The 18,901-nt window shown below is 56.8% G+C and overlaps 1 protein-coding gene and 1 non-coding gene across 4 annotated transcripts in view, besides 12 other annotated features; both read left to right on the top strand.

Moving 5' to 3' along the window:
- The window catches only part of LPCAT1 (lysophosphatidylcholine acyltransferase 1), a 62,534-nt gene that overhangs the window by 1,491 nt on the left and 42,142 nt on the right, over window positions 1-18,901 (top strand). The window contains exon 2 of one of the 3 annotated variants that reach the window (XM_005248373.4): window positions 990-1,123. The exons of 1 other annotated variant lie outside the window; for it this stretch is intronic. The gene's annotated coding sequence lies outside the window, so the exon portion shown is untranslated. Of the gene's footprint in view, window positions 1-989; window positions 1,124-3,778; window positions 4,168-18,901 lie in introns of those variants that run through there. One more of the 3 variants, XM_047417763.1, reaches the window with a different exon arrangement.
- Window positions 483-987: an enhancer, noted in NCBI's record as "H3K4me1 hESC enhancer chr5:1521598-1522102 (GRCh37/hg19 assembly coordinates)". NCBI's record gives its function as "activates a minimal SCP1, AML or CMV promoter by ChIP-STARR-seq in naive H9 embryonic stem cells {active_cell/tissue: H9 hESC(naive)}" and the evidence as "EXISTENCE:reporter gene assay evidence [ECO:0000049][PMID:30033119]".
- Window positions 4,885-5,445: an enhancer, noted in NCBI's record as "H3K27ac-H3K4me1 hESC enhancer chr5:1517140-1517700 (GRCh37/hg19 assembly coordinates)". NCBI's record gives its function as "activates a minimal SCP1, AML or CMV promoter by ChIP-STARR-seq in naive H9 embryonic stem cells {active_cell/tissue: H9 hESC(naive)}" and the evidence as "EXISTENCE:reporter gene assay evidence [ECO:0000049][PMID:30033119]".
- Window positions 6,005-6,564: an enhancer, noted in NCBI's record as "NANOG-H3K27ac-H3K4me1 hESC enhancer chr5:1516021-1516580 (GRCh37/hg19 assembly coordinates)". NCBI's record gives its function as "activates a minimal SCP1, AML or CMV promoter by ChIP-STARR-seq in primed H9 embryonic stem cells {active_cell/tissue: H9 hESC(primed)}" and the evidence as "EXISTENCE:reporter gene assay evidence [ECO:0000049][PMID:30033119]".
- Window positions 6,565-7,124: an enhancer, noted in NCBI's record as "NANOG-H3K27ac-H3K4me1 hESC enhancer chr5:1515461-1516020 (GRCh37/hg19 assembly coordinates)". NCBI's record gives its function as "activates a minimal SCP1, AML or CMV promoter by ChIP-STARR-seq in primed H9 embryonic stem cells {active_cell/tissue: H9 hESC(primed)}" and the evidence as "EXISTENCE:reporter gene assay evidence [ECO:0000049][PMID:30033119]".
- Window positions 7,125-7,685: an enhancer, noted in NCBI's record as "OCT4-NANOG-H3K27ac-H3K4me1 hESC enhancer chr5:1514900-1515460 (GRCh37/hg19 assembly coordinates)". NCBI's record gives its function as "activates a minimal SCP1, AML or CMV promoter by ChIP-STARR-seq in primed H9 embryonic stem cells {active_cell/tissue: H9 hESC(primed)}" and the evidence as "EXISTENCE:reporter gene assay evidence [ECO:0000049][PMID:30033119]".
- Window positions 7,686-8,244: an enhancer, noted in NCBI's record as "OCT4-NANOG-H3K27ac-H3K4me1 hESC enhancer chr5:1514341-1514899 (GRCh37/hg19 assembly coordinates)". NCBI's record gives its function as "activates a minimal SCP1, AML or CMV promoter by ChIP-STARR-seq in primed H9 embryonic stem cells {active_cell/tissue: H9 hESC(primed)}" and the evidence as "EXISTENCE:reporter gene assay evidence [ECO:0000049][PMID:30033119]".
- Window positions 8,805-9,364: an enhancer, noted in NCBI's record as "H3K27ac-H3K4me1 hESC enhancer chr5:1513221-1513780 (GRCh37/hg19 assembly coordinates)". NCBI's record gives its function as "activates a minimal SCP1, AML or CMV promoter by ChIP-STARR-seq in naive and primed H9 embryonic stem cells {active_cell/tissue: H9 hESC(naive and primed)}" and the evidence as "EXISTENCE:reporter gene assay evidence [ECO:0000049][PMID:30033119]".
- Window positions 9,925-10,484: an enhancer, noted in NCBI's record as "H3K27ac-H3K4me1 hESC enhancer chr5:1512101-1512660 (GRCh37/hg19 assembly coordinates)". NCBI's record gives its function as "activates a minimal SCP1, AML or CMV promoter by ChIP-STARR-seq in primed H9 embryonic stem cells {active_cell/tissue: H9 hESC(primed)}" and the evidence as "EXISTENCE:reporter gene assay evidence [ECO:0000049][PMID:30033119]".
- Window positions 9,925-10,696: a biological region, named in NCBI's record as "Sharpr-MPRA regulatory region 9592".
- Window positions 10,402-10,696: a silencer, noted in NCBI's record as "tiled region #9592; K562 Repressive non-DNase unmatched - State 14:Gen5'". NCBI's record gives its function as "represses a minimal TATA promoter and a strong SV40 promoter by Sharpr-MPRA in K562 cells {active_cell/tissue: K562}" and the evidence as "EXISTENCE:reporter gene assay evidence [ECO:0000049][PMID:27701403]".
- On the top strand, window positions 11,614-11,708 carry MIR6075 (microRNA 6075). Its single transcript, NR_106723.1, has one exon. It is a non-coding gene; the product is annotated as a microRNA 6075 (primary transcript).
- Window positions 12,801-13,318: an enhancer, noted in NCBI's record as "H3K4me1 hESC enhancer chr5:1509267-1509784 (GRCh37/hg19 assembly coordinates)". NCBI's record gives its function as "activates a minimal SCP1, AML or CMV promoter by ChIP-STARR-seq in naive H9 embryonic stem cells {active_cell/tissue: H9 hESC(naive)}" and the evidence as "EXISTENCE:reporter gene assay evidence [ECO:0000049][PMID:30033119]".
- Window positions 13,319-13,837: an enhancer, noted in NCBI's record as "H3K4me1 hESC enhancer chr5:1508748-1509266 (GRCh37/hg19 assembly coordinates)". NCBI's record gives its function as "activates a minimal SCP1, AML or CMV promoter by ChIP-STARR-seq in naive H9 embryonic stem cells {active_cell/tissue: H9 hESC(naive)}" and the evidence as "EXISTENCE:reporter gene assay evidence [ECO:0000049][PMID:30033119]".

Raw genomic sequence — 18,901 nt, 5'->3', positions numbered from 1 at the left:
GGCCCTGGCCCCCGTCTCCCTGTGTGTCGGGAGCTGGACTCTGGGGCTGGGGCGGTGCCGGCCCCTCTGCCGCCGCTCTGCCTGGCCCTCTGTCTGCCACACGCTGTCAGCTGCCGTGTGCTGTGCCCCTCAAAGGAGGACTTGGGACACGGTCGCTCATTCTGTGCCCCTCAACCATTCCTCCTCTTCAATCCTCACCCCCACCCAGCCACCAGGCTCTCTCCCTGGTCACTCTCCCTGAGTCACTCCCAGCAGGCTTTCTTCCTCCTGCACTCTGCTGCTCGGAAGCCCTCAGCGGGGACGCCCCCGGATGAAATTCGAACCCCTGCTGTGGTTTCCAGGGCTTCCCCAGCCCTGCTCCTGCCCCAGCTATGGCTGCCTCAGGCATGCTCTCTCTTCCTGCCTTTCCTACTCCCTCCTGGCTCCCTGGGGGGAAACATCAAGCCCCTCCCTGGAGGTCCCCGGAGGCCACTTCGTCATCCCTGTCATAGTTGCAGCCCCCGGTTGAGGTGTGTTCTGTCCAAAAGTGTGCACCCACTGCCCTGGCGAGAAGCAGGGCAGAGACTCTCATGGGTAGGTACAGATGTCAGGGCACTGCCAGAGTGCCCAGAGGGGCCTGCTTTCCTCCCCGAGACCTCAGGGTGCAAGCTGCTCCCAGTGGCTCTTGGGCAGGGGGTCATCGAGAGGCTCCTGGTCCCGAGATTGAAGGCTTTGGGCAGCTGTTCTCCCTTGGGCCGAAGCCAGGCAGAGATCCTGGCTTGAGGTGTTGGGGCCTCTCAGAGAGGGGGCTTGCTTTGTTGCCACTTCAGAGGTTCCATCTGAGGAATTAGGTGTGTTTGTACATCCAGTCGTTTCTGCTGGATGTCTGCAATGTGTGGCTCAAGGGTTTAGTTTGTAAACGTTCTCAAAGTTCTCTGCAGAAACATTTTGCTTTTCACCAAGCATTGCTTTGCAAAGCTTTTACTTTGATGTGATATATTCTTGTAAAGTTTCCACAGAGTGAAATAGCCTGTCTTTCAAGCCAAGAAAGCCTTCTTCCCCAAAGAAAGAAATGGGTCCAGTAGTGGCTGACACACTCAAGAACCCGCAGAAACCCAGCTAAGTTCCCAGTTGAGATAAACCAGTGAGTACCTGCATTTACCTGTGAGCATTTGCCGCCTGGGAGGGGCTGCTGTGTGTCTTCGGATTAGCGCCATGCGGGGACACCTCCTCCTCCAGCCAGCCCATCTGTCATTTAACTACAGATTTAGTGAGGAGCTTAAGTATCTCTTTGGACAGAAAACAGCACATTAAGATCTGAAAAGAGGTATCAAAGCCATCAGGGTCTGTAATACGTGCAATGTTTTAATCCTCTGGCTAAAGCAAGGATATAGATTTAGTAGAGAGCGGTAAATGGTATGGTACAGGATCTTAGTGAGTTCAGCTGAGGTTCTTCATAGTCACACATTCATATATCGTTTTGGAGTCATGAAGTGGTTTCTGTCACCCAGGGTTTTCTCGGTACTTTCCTTGGAATCTGTGGGTATGAGTATTTCCCACTATGGTTCTGATGCGTTTTCCCCATTTCTTTTTTTTTTCTTTTTCTTTTTCTTTTTTTTTTTTTTTTTTTGAGACAGTCTCTCTCTGTCGCCCAGGCTGGAGTGCAGAGGTGCGATATCGGCTCACTACAAGCTCTGCTTCCCGGGTTCACGCCATTCTCCTGCCTCAGCCTCCCGAGTAGCTGGGACTACAGGCGCCCGCCACAATGCCCGGCTAATTTTTTTTTGTATTTTTAGTAGAGATGGGGTCTCACCGTGTTAGCCAGGATGGTCTCGATCTCCTGACCTTGTGATCCTCCCGCCTCGGCCTCCCAAAGTGCTGGGATTACAGGCGTGAACCACCGCGCCCGGCCCATTTTCCCCATTTCTAAAGTCTCTGCTGCTCGGAACCAGAGTTGGCAAGAACTTACATCCTGGAAAGCATAATGCCTTCCTGTGCACCTTGGAGCTGAGTCCTTGGACGGGCGTTGCTGTCTCAGAGTGGAGGAGGCTGCTGGGTGCCCGCCTGCCCACGCTGGCTAATCCACAGAGAGGATTATGATGAGGGTTGAGTCCAGGGACAGATTCTGCCCCTCCCTGCCTGGTGGCCCTGCATAGAATTTACCCAAAAGTGGGCCATCTTTTTCTCCACATTTTTATACAAATACCTGAGTTGTGATTTTTTAAAAAAACTCAGGAGCAGGACTCCGCCCTCTCAGCCTCGCTCCTGAGTCCAGCATGGCCACTGCAGAACAGGAATTCGTGTGCCTGCACACGTTGCCAGGCTCCTCACGTGGATGGCTGTGTTTGCAGTGTGTTCTTGACCCTTGGTGCCCTCCAGGCACACATGCACGGGGATGGGGGTTCCTCAGGCTTCTCTGAGCTGCTCCTGCTGCCCACTGGGTCCCTGGGTGCTGCCTGCCTGGATTCAGTAAGACTGGCTCTTCGCTCAGCCCCATTGCCGGGCAGTGGATGTGGAGGGGTGGGGTGGGCCAAGGAGCCCTGGGCAGTGTACCCGGTGGGAGCACAGGGCAGCCACACCCTGTGGAGGATGTGCAGGAGAGTGCCTGTCCCTTGGGGAGGATGGAGAAGGCCAGGGCTGTACAGGGCCTGCTGTCTCCCTGGATGCCTCAGAGGCCTTGGAGACGGTGCCAGGCCCATGGCCCCCAGCTGCCTTCTGATGACCTGGGTGTGATGGTGCCAACTGTTTTGGCCCAGTAGAGGCCCAAGCGTCATTTTCCCGTGTCCTCGCCTCTGGTCACTGTCATCCTTTGCCCCAGGAAGCACAGGTGAGGACACAGAGGCCCAGCTGCTGTGCCGTCTCCCAGGCAGGGAGGGCAGCGTGGGCTGGCTTAGCATGGATGCCTGCCCTCACCTCACAAGGAGCCCTGACCTTAGGGAACTGGCTTTTTTCTCAAAGTCATCGAGAGCGTTCCTGTAATCCTGTCTAATTTTCCGAATGAATTTTCCGAATGACGCACTCGTGAAACTTAGTTGTGGTTAACTTTGCAAAATGGGAAGGGGGGTTCAAAATCGGAAAAGACTTTACTTTTCATTTTTTATAGCATTCTGTCCTAAAACTTGGGTTTCTAATATGAGTGTGTGTATGAGAATATGTGTGTACACACATGCATACACATATACATAAGTGCATACACAGGCATATACATGCGAGTGTACACAAACATCCACATAAGCATACCCACATACACACAGAAGCTCACGCACATAGTTTTGTTTTACAGCTGACAGCAAAGCACCATCAGTTTCATGCAGAAACCCGTGATTGTGACCCAAAGTTCGTCTTAAACGGACACTGTCTTTGCACTCCTGTTTCATCGTGAGAAAGAGCCCTTTATCTTATATTGTCAGCACGCATCTGTGCCAACTTTTAAAACTCTGCAGCTTCTGGGTCTGTTTCAGGACGCCAGGCTGGCGTGAGCCATGGGAGCTGCTTTCTTCCCCCACTCATGCACCCTGCTCTGCACGCTTCCTGCAGGCACGGTTCCTTTCTCACATCAGCCCAAGTGAGACAACACCTTTCCGTTCCCAGACAGGAGATGACACCCAGGGCGCCTCCTTCACTGCCTGTGGTCGTGGCTCCGGAACTCTAAAGGAGCACATGTTTTTACGCATTTCAGAATGATGCTGGCCTCTTGCCTGGGTCCGGCCCCCTATCGTCATTGGCACTCAGGACTGCTCCTTCCTCCCACTGGAACACAGGGCCATGTGGGTTCTGCTCCTGCCTCTGCTTGCTGTTCACAGCCATGGTCGGTGCTGGCCGCAGCAGGTGCATTTTAAGTTTTTACTGTGGGCCGGGCGCAACGGCTCACGCCTGTAATCCCAGCACTTTGGGAGGCCGAGGCGGGCGGATCATGAGGTCGGGAGATCGAGACCATCCTGGCTAACACGGTGAAACCCCGTCTCTACTAAAAATACAAAAAATTAGACGGGTGTCATGGCAGGTGCCTGCAGTCCCAGCCACCCAGGAGGCTGAGGCAGGAGAATGGCGTGAACCCAGGAGGCGGAGCTTGCAGTGAGCGGAGATCGCACCACTGCACTCCAGCCTGGGCGACAGAGCCGGACTCCGTCTCCAAAAAGAAAAAGATAAAGAAAAAGTTTTTACTGTGCCCGGGACAAGCAACCTGGGGTAAGACATCAGCTCTGTCTTATATTTTTCTCTTTTTTTTCAGCTGTGTTTTTTTTCCGCTTTAAACCACGCATTGCCTTTTCTCTGGAAGGCGTCCAGCCAGTCACCCGGCCCAAGCCCTTCATCCCATGCATGGGGCCACGGTGCATCCCCCACCCTGTGGGACCCAGGGTCAGGAGTGGGTGGGCTCGAGAGAGGCCGCAGGGCCGTGCTCAGAGTGGGGCGAGAACCCTGAGGCGTCCGTCAGCCCTGCGGGTTCACTTCTGCATTAGTCCATGTGAGCCGTCATCAGACTTTGCAAATGCTTCCTCTCTGATGTCCACTTTCTTTAGTAAGAGGAGGCAGGCGGCCCACAGCTGCGTTCAGAATGCATTCCGGATGCGGCTCTCCTGAGCCCTCCGACCTCGTCCCCTTGTCCCCTCGTCCCCCGTGTGGGGAGGCACTGCCAGGGGTGGGGGCTCCTGTCTGGGAACAGCGGCCTTTTCCAAACCTTGATTTTACTCTTGAATTTGACACGTCGCCTCTGTTCCTAGACGAACTGTAGTCTTTAGAAAATGTCAAGCTATGGTCACTACTTGCTTCCATTTTATTTAAATCGTTTCTTCCTAACATTGGCTTTTTTTTTTGCAGTTGAATTATCTATTTCTCGTATAAACATGTTAGGATTTTGTGCCTGAAAAAGTGGCCACTCAGGAGCCCTGCTTCAGGAGCCGGGCACGGGACTCGACTACCACACTTGCTGGGTGTCTGGCCCATGCCCGGTGCCTCCTGTGCCTGCAGGGGCAGAGCGCCCTTGAGTGCTGGGAGGGCCCAGGCAGCGGAGAACGTGGCTCCCTGTCCCACTCCGTCTCACCGCTCTTGTCTGAGAAGGCGCCCTGTGCTGTACTGCTTGGACATGACTGGTTGGGAGTGTCCAAGCTAGGCTTCCACGAGGTCACCTGTCTTGCTAAGCCATGTCCCTGCCTCTGACACAGAGACTGCAGGAGGAGCCCTCCTGACCTTCCTCTTCCTGTTTCCAGGGCCCTCATCCCCACGCGGCCCATGACAAAAGTGCTATGGTTCTCAGGATGGCCAGGAGCCGCGACCGTCCCCTCCAAGTCCTGTGGGCCTCCTGTGGGTGCTGGGGCATGCTTACCATTCCCGGTTACTGTTTCCAGCATTTCCAGTGTAAACCTTTAATCTAGCTGTGAATCATTCTGAAAATGAGCCCAGGAAAAAAGCATGATGCTAGGCTTGTGTTTGGAAATAACATTATTTTCTAATGTGATCACTGTTTGTCCCTGTGAAACCCACGTCATTTTGCAACCCTGGGGGATACTTTTTGCTGTATTAAAACCAATGCATCCCTGGCTTCTCAGCCATGTGCCAGCAGCATGAGCTTAGGTGTGTTAAAGGTGAGGTGCTGTTCTTGAACTTCCAGCACAGTCAGCTCCCAGCTTCCCTCAGTGTGGTCTTTCCTCTGCTGTGACTGGTGGCCCTCTAACCTCATCCCCTGTGCCCTCGTCCCCTGTGTGGGGAGACACTGCTGGGGTGGGGGCTGGTACCTGGGGACAGCAGCCTTTTCCAAACCTTGATTTTACTCTTGAATTTCACACTTCCCTCTTAGAGCCAGAGGAGTGAGTTATTTCCTCTTAAAGATATTTGCCACATACAAGCTTAAAAAAAAAAAAGGAAAGAAAGAAAACAGTTTCTCTCCCAGTTCTAAATGTTTTAAAACCCTTGGGGTAGAACCAAAGCTGGGCCAAGGTACTGGAGGGCAAGGGCCCTGGAGCCAGGGAGGGCTGGTGTCCATGCACAGACAGTGGGGATGCCGCCGGGCTGGGCAGGCGTGGATCAGCATGGAATGCCTGGGCTCCTTAGAGTGGAGTCTGTTTGTTCTCCTAGGCTACCCTGGAGGGGTTAGATCCACCTTTCTGCAGCAGTGAGTCATTGTCTCCATCAGGGAAGAGTCATGGTCACCTGTGTGCCATGTGAATCATCATTGTGACATCCTCCTGGGTCCCATGCATCCATCAAGCTCAGCACATCCCAGGCTAGACCTGTCCTGTCCCTGTGCCAGGCTGTCTGCCCAGTCAGTGGCCCCAGGACCACGTGGCGCCTGTGCCATTGGGGAAGTCTCTGTAAAGAGTGGGCTCTCCTCTCCCTCACCTTAGAGCGATCAGGTCATTTCTGCCTCCCCCACAACTGCCACTGGGCAGTGGCCTCCAGCCCCCAGCAGCCCTCCCTCTGTGTCCACAGCTGCACGTCAGGCTGGTCACCTCTGTACCTCCCTGCACTCAGAGGAGTGGACATACTTGCCAGGGCCCACAGCCCCTGCCCACTCCCATTCTACCCACTGGCTGAGCAGGGGTCAGCCTTGCCTCACAGACGTTACTGGTGGTCCAGGGGCTCCCTGCAGCTGGGGGAAGCAGGATGTCCTGGGTGGAGGGTCTCCCATAGCCAGGGACAGGGCCAGGATGTGCTTGGTGGGCTCCCTGGAGATGGTGGCGCAGACCCAGAATTGTGGGGACAGAGGCACTCCTGCAGCTCGGGGGAGTGGGGGTGAGCCAGGATGTTCCGGGGGGCCCCCTGTATTTGCCCGTAGTGTGGAGCAGGGTGTACAGGGCAGGCCAGGGGCTCCTGCAGCTAAGTGGGTGGGACTTAGGCCAGGATGTTGTGTGTGGGCGGCAGTGGGAGGTGGGGGAGGGTCCCAGTATCTGTAGATAGTGCAGGGCAGGGTATACAGGGCAGGCCAGGGGGTTGGGCCAAGATGTTCTGGGGGGCCCCTGTATCTGCGGGTAGTGTGGGGCAGGGTGTACAGGGCAGGCTGGGGGTGGGACTTGGGCCAGGATGTTCTGGGCTGGCGGGGGAGGTGGGGGACCTTGTATTTGCGGGTAGTGTGGCGCAGGGTGTACAGGGCAGGCTGTGGGCTCCTGCAGCTTTTGAGGGTTTGGGCCAGGATGTGCTGGGGGGCTCCCTGTATCTGCAGCCAGTTCGGAGTAGGAAGGGCCGGGCAGGCTGGGGACTCTTGTAGCAGGATCCCCTGATGCAGGATGTGCTGGGGGGCTCCCTGTATCTGCGGCCAGTTCGGAGTAGGAAGGGCCGGCAGGCTGGGGACTCTTTCTTGTAGCAGGATCCCCTGATGCAGGATGTGCTGGGGGGCTCCCTGTATCTGCGGCCAGTTCGGAGTAGGAAGGGCCAGCAGGCTGGGGACTCTTTCTTGTAGCAGGATCCCCTGATGCAGGATGTGCTGGGGGTGGGGCTCCCACCACAGGGGGCTTGGGAGGTGCTCTCCACCAGGGCCCCACTGGCTTTCTGCAGATGTTTGTTAAACAAATGCAAGCAGCTAGAAATGCCACGGATCCTGAATTTCAGGATTCTTTTTACTCAGACCAGGCGGGAGGTCCGGGGAGATTGGCGTTTCCCTGGGCCACAGCTCCGGAGGGCCTGTCTCAGGGCCTGGGCTGAATGGGAAGCGTGCTGGTATGTGTGAAGGTCCTGTTTTGGCTGGAGGTGGAAGGTGGGGTCCTGGCGGAGCACGCAGGGGGACCTTTTTGTTGGAATGATCCCAGGAGCCTGCTTCTCCTGAGCCCCCCACGATGTATCACTGTCTGCAGCGCCTGCATGGTCCACAGCCCCTGAGGTCCTCGGACACCAACAGAGTGAAATGCTGCTGCAGACCTCGGCCTGGCGGCGTGCCTGGCGGCGTAGGGTGCATTCCCAACCTCGGAATTAAAATGTGCAGAATGTACACCTGGGGGTCAGGGTGTGGGGCGTTTGGTTCACTTGACCACCTGTGGGCCCCGTGTGGACTTTGAGTCCCCCAGTGCGGAGCAGACTCCCAGTGTCCTGGGACACAGCCTGGGGCTCAGGACTGACCTGTCGAAGGAACAGTACTGAAGAAACAGGCTGCCTTTCACCGCGAGCGTTTGGCATGGCTCTGCTCTGTGAAGCTGTGAGGCCCGTGCACCTGCGATGGCCCCTCGTGCTGCTGTGGCTGCAGTGCTGGCATGTGGACCCTGTTTGTTGTTTTTGGATATCGCTCACTGGGCAGATGAGGCTGGGGCCTCCCTGTGCCTGGCCTGTGCCGGGCCCCTTGTGCCCAGCATCTCCTGTGCTTCTCCTCCCCTCGGCCTCGAGGACAAAGCTGGTGCCTCCCAGGAGGGCCCTGGCATCTCCAGCCTCTCCCCAGCCGCTGGTGGTGGGGGTTCTGCTCTCGGGCTGCCCATCTGGCCCCGTTCTCATTGGAGCTTCTCCACGGCTCCTGGGACTCCCACCTCCAGGGCCCGTTTCTGCACGTGGGAGCTTTGCCTTGAAAGCTGCCTTCTGAGGAAATGTAATCGCAGGGTGTCCCGCCCCACGGGTGAGAGCCTGTGGAAATGGAGGAAATGTCATCACAGGGTGTTCCGCCCCACGGGTGAGAGCCTGTGGAAATGGAGGAAATGTAATCACAGGGTGTCCTGCCCCACGGGTGAGAATGTAATCGCAGGGTGTCCCGCCTCACCGGTGAGAGCCTGTGGAAATGGAGGAAATGTAATCACAGGGTGTCCCGCCCCACGGGTGAGAATGTAATCGCAGGGTGTCCCGCCCCACGGGTGAGAGCCTGTGGAAATGGAGGAAATGTAATCGCAGGGTGTCCCGCCCCACGGGTGAGAGCCTGTGGAAATGGAGGAAACATAATCGCAGGGTGTCCTGCCCCACGGGTGAGAGCCTGTGGAAATGGGTCAGGTGTAACCGAGTCCCCGCAGCCTCCAAATAGGAATCTGCAGCTAGTTTCTGCTTTTGAAGCTTAGCCTGTGCCCACAGTGGAACGTGTGCAGCCCAGAAGCTTACACTTCTGAGTTTCTGCTCCCTTCCCTCCTGTATTCTTCTTGCGAGCACCTGCCGTGAGCCAGGCCTTGCAGGAGCTGAGCCCTCGGGGTCACCAGGCAGCAATGGAAGGGCCTCCCAGCCTGCAGCCTGTATTGTGGAATCTCTCCTCTAGAGTGTGGGGCTGCAGGTTGGACATGGGGGACGTCATATGTAGGGACCAGAGGGACAGAACTCTGGCTGGGTGTCCCAAACCCTTCAGGGAAGGGGGATTTGTGCAGAGCTTTGCGGGTGAGGAGGCATGAGGACTGTCTGGGAGAGCATGTGGGCAGGACCCGGAGGCCAGCCTGGGGACCGGAGGAGCGGCTCCGGCACCTGCCTGCCATCGGTCATCTTGAAGCAGGAACTGGGGCATCGGCTGTGATGCTCACATAGCCACCCTGCCTGGGCCCTCCCTCCGTGGGGCTCTGCACTCTCTACTCCTGATTTCTCAGCTGAGCTTGCACCTCCACCCCACGCCCTTTTCCCGCAGGCCCACACCAGGATGCCGGCGCGTGCCATCTTTACACGGGCTGCACCTGTGCCGTCTGAGCCAGGTGGTGCTGCGGTTTCCGTCGGTCTCGTTCTGCCTGCACCTGGACACCATTTGTCCAGAGTGCACATTGCAGGTGCTCAGGAATTGTCTGCAGAATGAGTAAGCGTGTTTTCTTTCACACACCTTTTTACTGGTTACTTTCCAACAGCACCAATGTGTGAGCACCATGCCCTGTGCTGGCATCACGGGTGTGAGCCAGGGTGTCAGGGAACGCTTAGTCCAGACAGCAGAGCCCCCCGATGGGAGGAAGACTCCAGGTGAAGGCGTGGGCCATACATAGCTCAGGGGGCCCGAGGGAGTCAGCCCACAGGGCACAGCCTCATTCCAAAGGTCACAAGGTGTCCAGGAATCTGCATTTGTAGTACACAAGGTTGAAAGTCTGAGATGTGGCCCCCCGTGGGCACTTCAGCAAGCTGTGTCTTCTCCAGTGACTGCAGGGTGCTTGCCCCAGATGTTGGGGGTCTATGGCCCTTGATTCTACGGGAAGCATGGACACTGGGTGCTTCAGGGATAGTGAGAGGGAGGCTCTAGTGTGGGACTGCTCTTGGGCCGGGGCCTTGTGACCCTGTGAGCCTCCGTGGGATGATGATGCAGAGCTGACAGTGACTCCGAAGGCGGGTGTGGCCGGCCCAGCGGCTCCATATCTTCCTGATTGGACATGGGGCATGGAGGGCCTGCCTGTGTGGCACCACCCAGCACATAGCCCCACTGCGACTCACGGGGCCGCACGCCACACAGGAGCTCAGACTACTGTGCCTGCCAAGCCCTGTCCGGGTGGCCGTGGGGCTCACTTTACTGGCGAATGAGCAGGGCTCTAAGTGTGGTACGCCCTCTGCCACCTGCTGTGTCCTGGTGGTGATGTGGGGCTGCCCAGGTGGAGCCTCCTTGCCTGGCCTCAGCAGGACCCAGCCCACCCTCCAGACACCCGCTGAGACCGGGAAGTGATGCTCCTCCCAAGCCACAGAGCTTAGGGACAGCTGGGGCTGCAGCTCAACACAGCCATCCCCAGCCATGAGGCTGCCTCCTTGGGGTTGTTGGCTGAGTGGCAAGCAGGAGGGTGCCACCATCTGGGAGCAGAGGACGATGCACAGCTTTGCTGTGCAGATGCATGAGGCTGCTCGATGGACCTCCCTCCTGGAGGGGCTCGGTTCCTGGCCAACCAAGACTGGAGTGGCCTGATCCCACTCAGGGATTCCCTGGCTGTTCTCTGACCCTGTCTGCAGGAAGCAGCTCTGTGTTCAAGAGAGGAATTCAAGCAGTGTCCTGATGGCAGAGTGAGTGAGGCGTACAGGTGCATCCCCACGTAAGGTGAGCAAGGTGAGCAGATGACATCCCCACGTAGGGTGAGCGAGGTGAGCAGGTGCATCCCCAAGTAGGGTGAGCGAGGTGAGCAGGTGACGTCCCCACGTAGGGTGAGCGAGGTGAGCAGGTGCATCCCCAAGTAGGGTGAGCGAGGTGAGCAGGTGACGTCCCCACGTAGGGTGAGCGAGGTGAGCAGGTGCATCCCCATGTAGGGTGAGCGAGGTGAGCAGGTGATGTCCCCACGTAGGGTGAGCGAGGCGTGCAGGTGGTGTCCCCTGAGGGGTTGGGGCCACGTGGTCTCTGATGCCACGTCTGCTACAGAACCTAGGTAACTGGGACACACAAACAGCGCGCGCCGGGGAGGTCAACCCCGCAGAGCCAACCGTGAGCCCAGGTGCAAGAGAGGAGCTGTGCGGTCGCAGTCGGAGGTGCTGTGTGTGGAGATCCACAGAAAGGCCTGCGTGGGCATGAGCAAGTAACCGCAGTGACTCCCTGGTCTCTTCTTGCTGGGATATGGGGCTTCAGTGCCGTCTTAGGGGCCCAGGGTTTTCTCAGAGCCAGTGCCCCTCAGACGCTGGTGGGGACGCCCCGCAGGAGGAAGGTGTGCTCCCCCATGGCTGTTTCCAGAAAGCAGGACTAACCAGGGCCTGCAGAAGCCATGGGAGACAGCCTCCACCCACGCTGCGGAGAGCGGCCCCTGCTCCAGAGACACTGCACTCCTCCAGGCCCGCCTGCCCTCCAGCAGCGGCCCTTGCTCCAGAGACACCACATGCTCCTCCAGGCCTGCCTGCCCTCCAGGTCATGTTCCAGTGTCCCACAGATGCAGCACCACGGCCCAGGCGGCATTGGTGTCACCCCAGGGTGCTACCTGCATGCTACCATCCAGTCCCAGTGACGACACTGGTGCCAACGGTCCCAGGGCCGTCCCTGTATCCTGGAAGCTGGCTCACAGGGGAGCTGGTTGGGTGTTGATGGGGGTTCCCCAGTCACAGGGTGTCGTGGTTTAGACATGGCCAAGACCAGACTGGCTTTGATCCCATTCAACACCGTGCAGCATCCTCGTAAGACGCCCGTGGACTGGAGTGGGTTGAAAATGGTAAATGGAGTGGTCTAGGAGAATCACTGTGCTGTGGGACTGCGGGGCCGATTTGCAAATCCAAAGGGAATTACTGAACACACTGTCATCTCGCAGGCAAGAGCCTCGGGTAGGTGATGGTGCCGAGGGTTCTGGTGAGGACGGTGGAGTAGAGATGACAGCGGCGGGAGGCGGTACGGCTGGTTGAGGGTTTGCAAAGAAATAGTTCAGTTTTAGAAAAGCTATATTTAATTTTAGATTTGAGTGGGAGAGCGAAGAAGAAACAGCTTTATAGATAGCAGTAAGCACGGGCTGTGGGGGAGAGGGGTTCCTGCGGGGAGGCGCAGATCCTCCTGCAGTCACACGGGGTGGGGGTGAAAAGCTCCAGAGTGTGACCTCACTGAAATCTAAGGTCAGGGAGACAATGGATGTTCACAGGGGTGAGAAAAAGACAAAGAAACCCACCATAAATTTGGCACAAGATGTATATACATTTATATAAATGAGAAAATTACACAAACAGAAATGGGAATACCCAGTAAACATAAAATGTTCCTCCCAATGAAACCGTCCCCGTGATGTGGCCTGCGCTCCTGGCAGCCCATCCCTCCTCCTGCAGGCCTCACCTGGGATCTGTAGCGCCTGGGGTGCGGGCCGTGCCTCGGGCTCCAAAGGTAAGAGTGGTTGTGTGTGCAGAGAGAGCCCACGGCAATGGTTCACGGTGCCACTTTTTCACATTTCCTGTCTGCTTTTAGTATCGTTAACTATGAGAATTCATTGTGGGCGTGATCGCTGATTCCATATTTGAAGGCAGCGTTTGGTTTGGACCAGAAGTCATGTTATATGAATAAAGGTGTTTTGGTGATTGGGGAGACAGAAAAGGAGGGCGTTTCCTGCTGCTGCCTTGCTCGGTTTGTGTCTGTGGGTGCTGGACGGGAGTGGGTGATTCCCGAAGCTCCCTCCAGCTCTCAGATGCCGAGGGCGGGCTGGTGGTGTTTGCTGATGGAAGTGCCGGCTCCGTCCGATGGGATGCCTGAGAGAACTGCTGTGCTTTCAAAAGTTGTTCTTTCTCTAAAAGGAAAAAGCAAAAGAAAATTAGACCTTGGACAGCAGGCGCCTGTGTGTGCTGCCGCTCGCCCTCTCACCGTGGGAGGAGTGCACGTTCTCTCGTGGATTTGCAAGCGCACTGTCGCATATCCTGTGGAGTTGGGATAATTTTTTCCACATAATTAAAGCAGCAATGTTGGGATGCACCTTCAGGAGGGAGCATTCCTGTGAGCTGCCTCCACCGCGCTAACCGTAGAGCTTGGGGTGGCTGGCACTGAGCATCTGCCCCGGCCGCCTGTGCGGGATGACGCGGCCTCGCGGCCTTCGAGTCTCCGGGCGCCATCCTTTGGGCAGCCTCCCCTCCACCCCTGCCTCGTTGCAGGTGCATTGGAGCCCCTTCACTGGCTGGGGCACTGCAGTGTGACATCTCCAACAAGTGGGCTCGGAGGGGCCGCAGCATCCCTGCGCCTGGTGGGCCTCACCGCAGCACCCCTGTCGGGCACCGCGATGGCGTGAGTGCACACGAGAGGGACCACATGTTCTCTGGCAACCTCGTGTCTTTGAGTTCAGCACTGATTGTGAAACGCCGGGTGATGCTGGGGCCTGGGGCTGCTTACGGCCCTGGTGGCCTTGGCAGAGACGAGGGAGGGGTTTGCCAGCTGCCTGAAATCAGAGAGCCTGGGCCTGGGCATTGTGACCACCGGCGCCTTCACTCAGAGACTTCCAGAGAGTTCCAGGCCAACATTTGGATGGCCTTGTTTACATTTAAGCCAAGAGTCATCACTTTTATACTTTTTATCATGGGAAATTTCAAACATATGTCAAGTGTCTTTCTCAGCTCCGGCTTCCATAATAAAGTGCCTCAGATGGGGCTTAAACCACAGACATTGTTGTCTCACCATCCTGGAGGCTGGAGTCCGAGACCGAGGCGCAGCAGGGCTGGTTCCTCCTGAGGCCTCTCCTGGGCTTGCAGATGGTGCCTTCACCCTGTGTCCTCACAGGGCCGTCCCTCCCTGGGTGTCTGTGTCCTCATCTCCTCTTCTTATAAGGACACCAGGCAGGTTGGCTCAGGGCCCCCAGATGATCTCATTTTACCTTCGTCACCTCTCTAACAGCCCCTTCTCCAAATACAGTCACCCTCTGGAGTCCTGGGGGTCAGGACATCAACAGGAATTGGGGAAGGGGGCGCAAAATTCAACCTAGAACACCAAAGCAGTGATAATACAGTGGGCCTGGGACCTGTCCCCCAGCCCGGAGAATGACGGTGTGTGGCCAGGCCGGGGTCACGTGCACTCCCACTGTGCCCGCCCTGCTTGGCGCGGCTGCTGTCACAAAGGACCACAGACGAGGTGCCTCCCGAACAGCAGACACGGACTTCTCACCATTCTGGAGGCTGAAGTCCAAGATGCCGGCAGATTTGGTGTCTGCCAAGGACCCCCTCCGGGTCAATAGATGGCACCTTCTGTGTCCTCGCAAGGTGGAGGGGTGAACGAGCTCCCTCGGGCCTCTGGTGCGTGTGGATCAGGAGGGTCCTCCAGCTCCTCCTTGTTTGCTGCAATGGATTTGGGCTGTGTTTTGTGGAGTTTTGTGTTTTGTGGAGTTCTCTGCATTTTCTGATTGATTGCATCTCCTTGTTGTCATTGGGGCTTTCTGGAAGCTGGTGGTTGCATCTAGACCCAGAGAGGGTCAGTTCCCACTGGTCTGCTGTGCTGCTCCTGCACCAGGCTCGGCATTGGCTGTTGCTGGATCCCTGTCACGTGAGTGTGAGCTGGGTAGGCCTCGAGCCAGCCCTCAGGACATGAGCCTCTGCCAGCTTCCTTGATTTGGGCCGCGCCGTGCTCCTGGGACTGCAGGCGTGAGCGCTCGCGCCCGGCCCCTGCCAGCTTCCCTGATGTGGGCTGCGCCGTGCTGTCCCATCTTCATCTCTGCATTTCCCACCTGTGACCTGGAGCAAGCCCGGCTGAGGAGCCCTGGGCCTTCTGCTGGGAAGTGGTATTTAGCGGCCGCAGTCCGCACCAAAGCTCTCCCTGCATGTGGGCAGGTCACTGCCTGGACGCCTTGGTTTATCGTAGCCAACTTTCAAATAGTTGAAGTAACTCAGCCTCAGACTTCAGACAAAGTTCCTCATTAGGATTATGCTATAAACCCTCACTTATGGCTCACACAGGGTGACCATATTGCTTCCTCCAACTGGCATTTCTCAGGGTGATCAGGGTCCTGTGGTGACAGCCGGCCCACAGCCATCAGCAGCTTGTCTTGGGAGGGCCAGGTTGCAGGTCTCAGCGTCTGCAGGCGTCCACAGTGTCCTCCCCAGTTGGCTGCCGCGTGGAGGCCTGACCTATGGTGACCAGGAGCGTGGTCCGTGTTCTCCTCTCTGAGTCCCTCCCCCTCTCCGCATTCAGCCTCTGGCCACACTGCCTGGAGGCTGCTCCCGCTCCCCACATCTGCCCACCTTGTCCACGCAACAGCCCGCTTATCCCTGTCCACGACTTGCAGTGATGTCTTGGTTCCGCATGCTGCCCCTGCTGCCTCTGGTGAAGGTGCCAAGGGGGCTTCTGTGGAAGCCTCTGAGCCAGGGTGCTGGGCCTTGCTTGGGTGAGGAGAAAAGACACCTGCCCTCTCTGACAGGTGTCCCTGTGGCTGCAGGTCTGTAAACGCACGCTTGCTCTCAGTGGACACTGCAAAGCTGCCGTGGGGAGGAATGGCTGTGCCCGGTGCCTCCACTTTAGCGACCTGAGTCTCCAGCGACGCTGCCTGGGAGACCGCACTGCCAGCCCCCTTTCCTTAGAAGGCCATTGTTCTGGGAGTTTCTGGTCTAGCCAGGATTTTCTAAGAATTTCTTTGCCTACCCAGCACCTCCCTTGGCCACCCCTGCCAGTGCTGAGGGGCTTGGCTGCCGCAGCTGCCCCAGCCAGCTTCTCTCTCTGCAGCTCTGCCATACTGGCATCTCCTGGGGGGCTAGAGTCCATCCAGACCCATCTGCACCAGGGCGTGGGGGCATGAGGAATGGAGGGATCCCAATGGGTGTGCCTGAGGCTGGACGCAGGGGTGGGGCCTGTGGAGACAGGTGGGCAGAAGGTGCGGGGTCATAGAAGCTTCTGGAAGGAGTCACAGCAGTCACCCAAGTCCTGTTCTCCTTGGTGAGGGCTCCCGGCTCCTGTGGGCGGGCCGAGCCTGGCAGAGAAAGAGCGCACAGGCCCAGAGCTGGGTGAGGTGAAGGCAGATCGGTGGAGATGCCCGGGCTCTTCACCAGGAGCACTGCTCCTCCTCCTGCCTGGGGCTCCCAGAGGCCCCCTCTCCAAGCAGTTTTCACAGCACTGCAGAGCAGAGCCACACCCTCCCCATCTGCTGGAGGCCTGGGGAGCTCCTCCCTGGCCATGTTCCCTCTCCACCCTCCCCTCATCAGCCCTGTTTGCCGAGGATCAGCGATTGCAACTGTGGCCCACAGGCCCCTCTCCTTGCTGCTGCTAAGCTCAGAAGTGTGGGCCGCATTCCCTGATGCACCACGAGCAGGCACAAGGGTGCATGGGCTGAGGGTCACATGGTCACGCAGTCTTCTGGGACACCAACAGGAGCAGGTGCACTGACTGGTGGGGAGCGTCACGTGGTCAGGCATTCTTTCCCATAGAGGAAGGAGCTGGTGCAGAGGGTCGCTTGTTCACACAGTCCTCCCCGTGCACGAAGCAGCAGGTGCATGGATGCATGGACGTGTGAGGTGAGGGTCAGGTGGTCATGCAGTCTAACCCATGCACGAAGGAGTAGGTGCAGGAATGTGTAAGTCGAGGCTCAGGTGGTCGCCCAGTCTTCCCTATGTGCGCAGGAGCAGGCGTGGGGGTGCGCGAGCCGAGGGTCACGTGGTCTCACAGTGCATCCCCCCACTGGCTGGCCCAGCGAACCCCATGTGCTAAGGAACCAGCAGCCTGACTACCCTACCCGGCATGCAGGCGGGGCCTCCCCACCCAGGGCTCATTCATGCCCCGTGTTGTTTGGGGATGGGGCGCTGCTCCCCCAGCCCCGGAGCTGTTCCCAGTGGGTGGTCCCATATGGAATGGCCTGGCAGTCGGTGCTGTTTCAGGAACACCATGGGTTACTGTGATTTTATTCCGCACTCTGTGGTGGAAGCAGTGTTGCAGTCGGTGCTGTTTCAGGAACACCGTGGGTTACTGTGATTTTATTCCGCACTCTGTGGTGGAAGCAGTGTTGCAGTCGGTGCTGTTTCAGGAACAGCGTGGGTTACTGTGATTTTATTCCGCACTCTGGTGGAAGCAGTTGTAGTCGGTGCTGTTTCAGGAACACCGTGGGTTACTGTGATTTTATTCCGCACTCTGGTGGAAGCAGTGTTGCAGTCGGTGCTGTTTCAGGAACAGCGTGGGTTACTGTGATTTTATTCCACACCCTGTGGTGGAAGCAGTGTTGCAGTCGGTGCTGTTTCAGGAACAGCGTGGGTTACTGTGATTTTATTCCACACCCTGTGGTGGAAGCAGTGTTGCAGTCGGTGCTGTTTCAGGAACAGCGTGGGTTACTGTGATTTTATTCCACACTCTGGTGGAAGCAGTGTTGTAGCAGAGTTGGCTGCAGCACCAGAGGTGGACTGAAGCAGGCTGTGGGCAGAGGCTGCCGTGGCCCCAGGGTCAGACCGGGGAACTTCCTGAGACTTTCTCTTAGTGCTGGTTATCACACTTCATGGCGTCTGCCCAGGGAGGCAACAAGTTCTAAGAACAATTTATGGGAAGAAGAAACTTACCCAGTAACTTATTGTCGGCTTTTTTTTTTTTTTTTTTGGGACGGAGATTCGCTCTTGTTGCCCAGGCTAGAGCGCAATGGCGCGATCTCAGCTCCCCACAACCTCTGACTCCCGGGTCCAAGTGATTCTCCTGCCTCAGCCTCCAGAGTAGCTGTGATTACAGGCATGCGCCACCACGCCCGGCTACTTTTGTATTTTTAGTAGAGATGGGTTCTCCATGTTGGTCAGGCTGGTCTCGAACTCCCGACCGCAGGCGATCCTCCCACCTTGGCCTCCCAAAGTGCTGGGATTACAGATGTGAGCCACCACGCCCTGCCTAGCTGTCGGCTTTAACAGCAGAGCCAGGCTTGTGCACTGCAGAGTGGCCTCTTCCCAGCCAGTGGCCCTGGAGCCCCGGGACCAGGTGGGCTGAAGGCCGAGGCTACGGTCTCCTCCGCTGCGCTCTCCTCCACTGCAACAAAATATGAAACAGTAACAGTAGATGGGAATGGATGAAATATTTAAAACTAAATTTTACAAATAAAGGAAAAGGCTGCCCCTTAGACTTGTGGGATTAAATCAAGGTGGTCCTTAGGGGGAGCTGTGTTCTAAATGTGACTATCAGGAAATAAGGTATTTCTGAAAATAACAAAGTGGGCTTTTCCCTCAAAAAGTTGAAAAGAATATTTGACTAAATTCAAAGCAGAAGAAAGAGGAACTAATAAGAGCCAAAATTAATATGATTAGGTCACAACAGAGAGAATGAACAAATCTGAGATGGTTCTGTAAGAAGACTGATAAAATAGAAAAATATCTGGCAACGTAGGTTTAGAAGTTTTGGCAGACACAGATAACATTAGAAATGAAACCAGAGAGCAGGCTTGGTGTGAACCCAAGGAGAGTGTGGCGGGCAACTTCACTGTTATCTTAAAGGCAGCTGGGAGGAGACCTTGGTAGCGGGAGGGAAAAATATGCCAAAAGCTTCCAGGAAGAGACTTCCCCATTGACAAAAACAGTGAAGTCAACCCAAAAAAAAAGGGACTCTATAAACAGTAGGGTTGGAAACAGTGAAGCAACGGTCAGGAGCTGCCGGCAGGCATGGGTGCACGCTGGTTTCGTAGGGCGACTGCACGAGGAAGCCGCTGGGAGGAAGTGACAGGAGCGGACAGGCGCGTCTTACTTAACAGCTGGTGACAGTGGCCAA

The sequence above is a fragment of the Homo sapiens genome, chromosome 5 (genome assembly GCF_000001405.40).
Source record: "Homo sapiens chromosome 5, GRCh38.p14 Primary Assembly".
NCBI classification, from domain to species: domain Eukaryota; kingdom Metazoa; phylum Chordata; class Mammalia; order Primates; family Hominidae; genus Homo; species Homo sapiens.
This window is presented reverse-complemented; position numbering and strand designations above follow the sequence as displayed.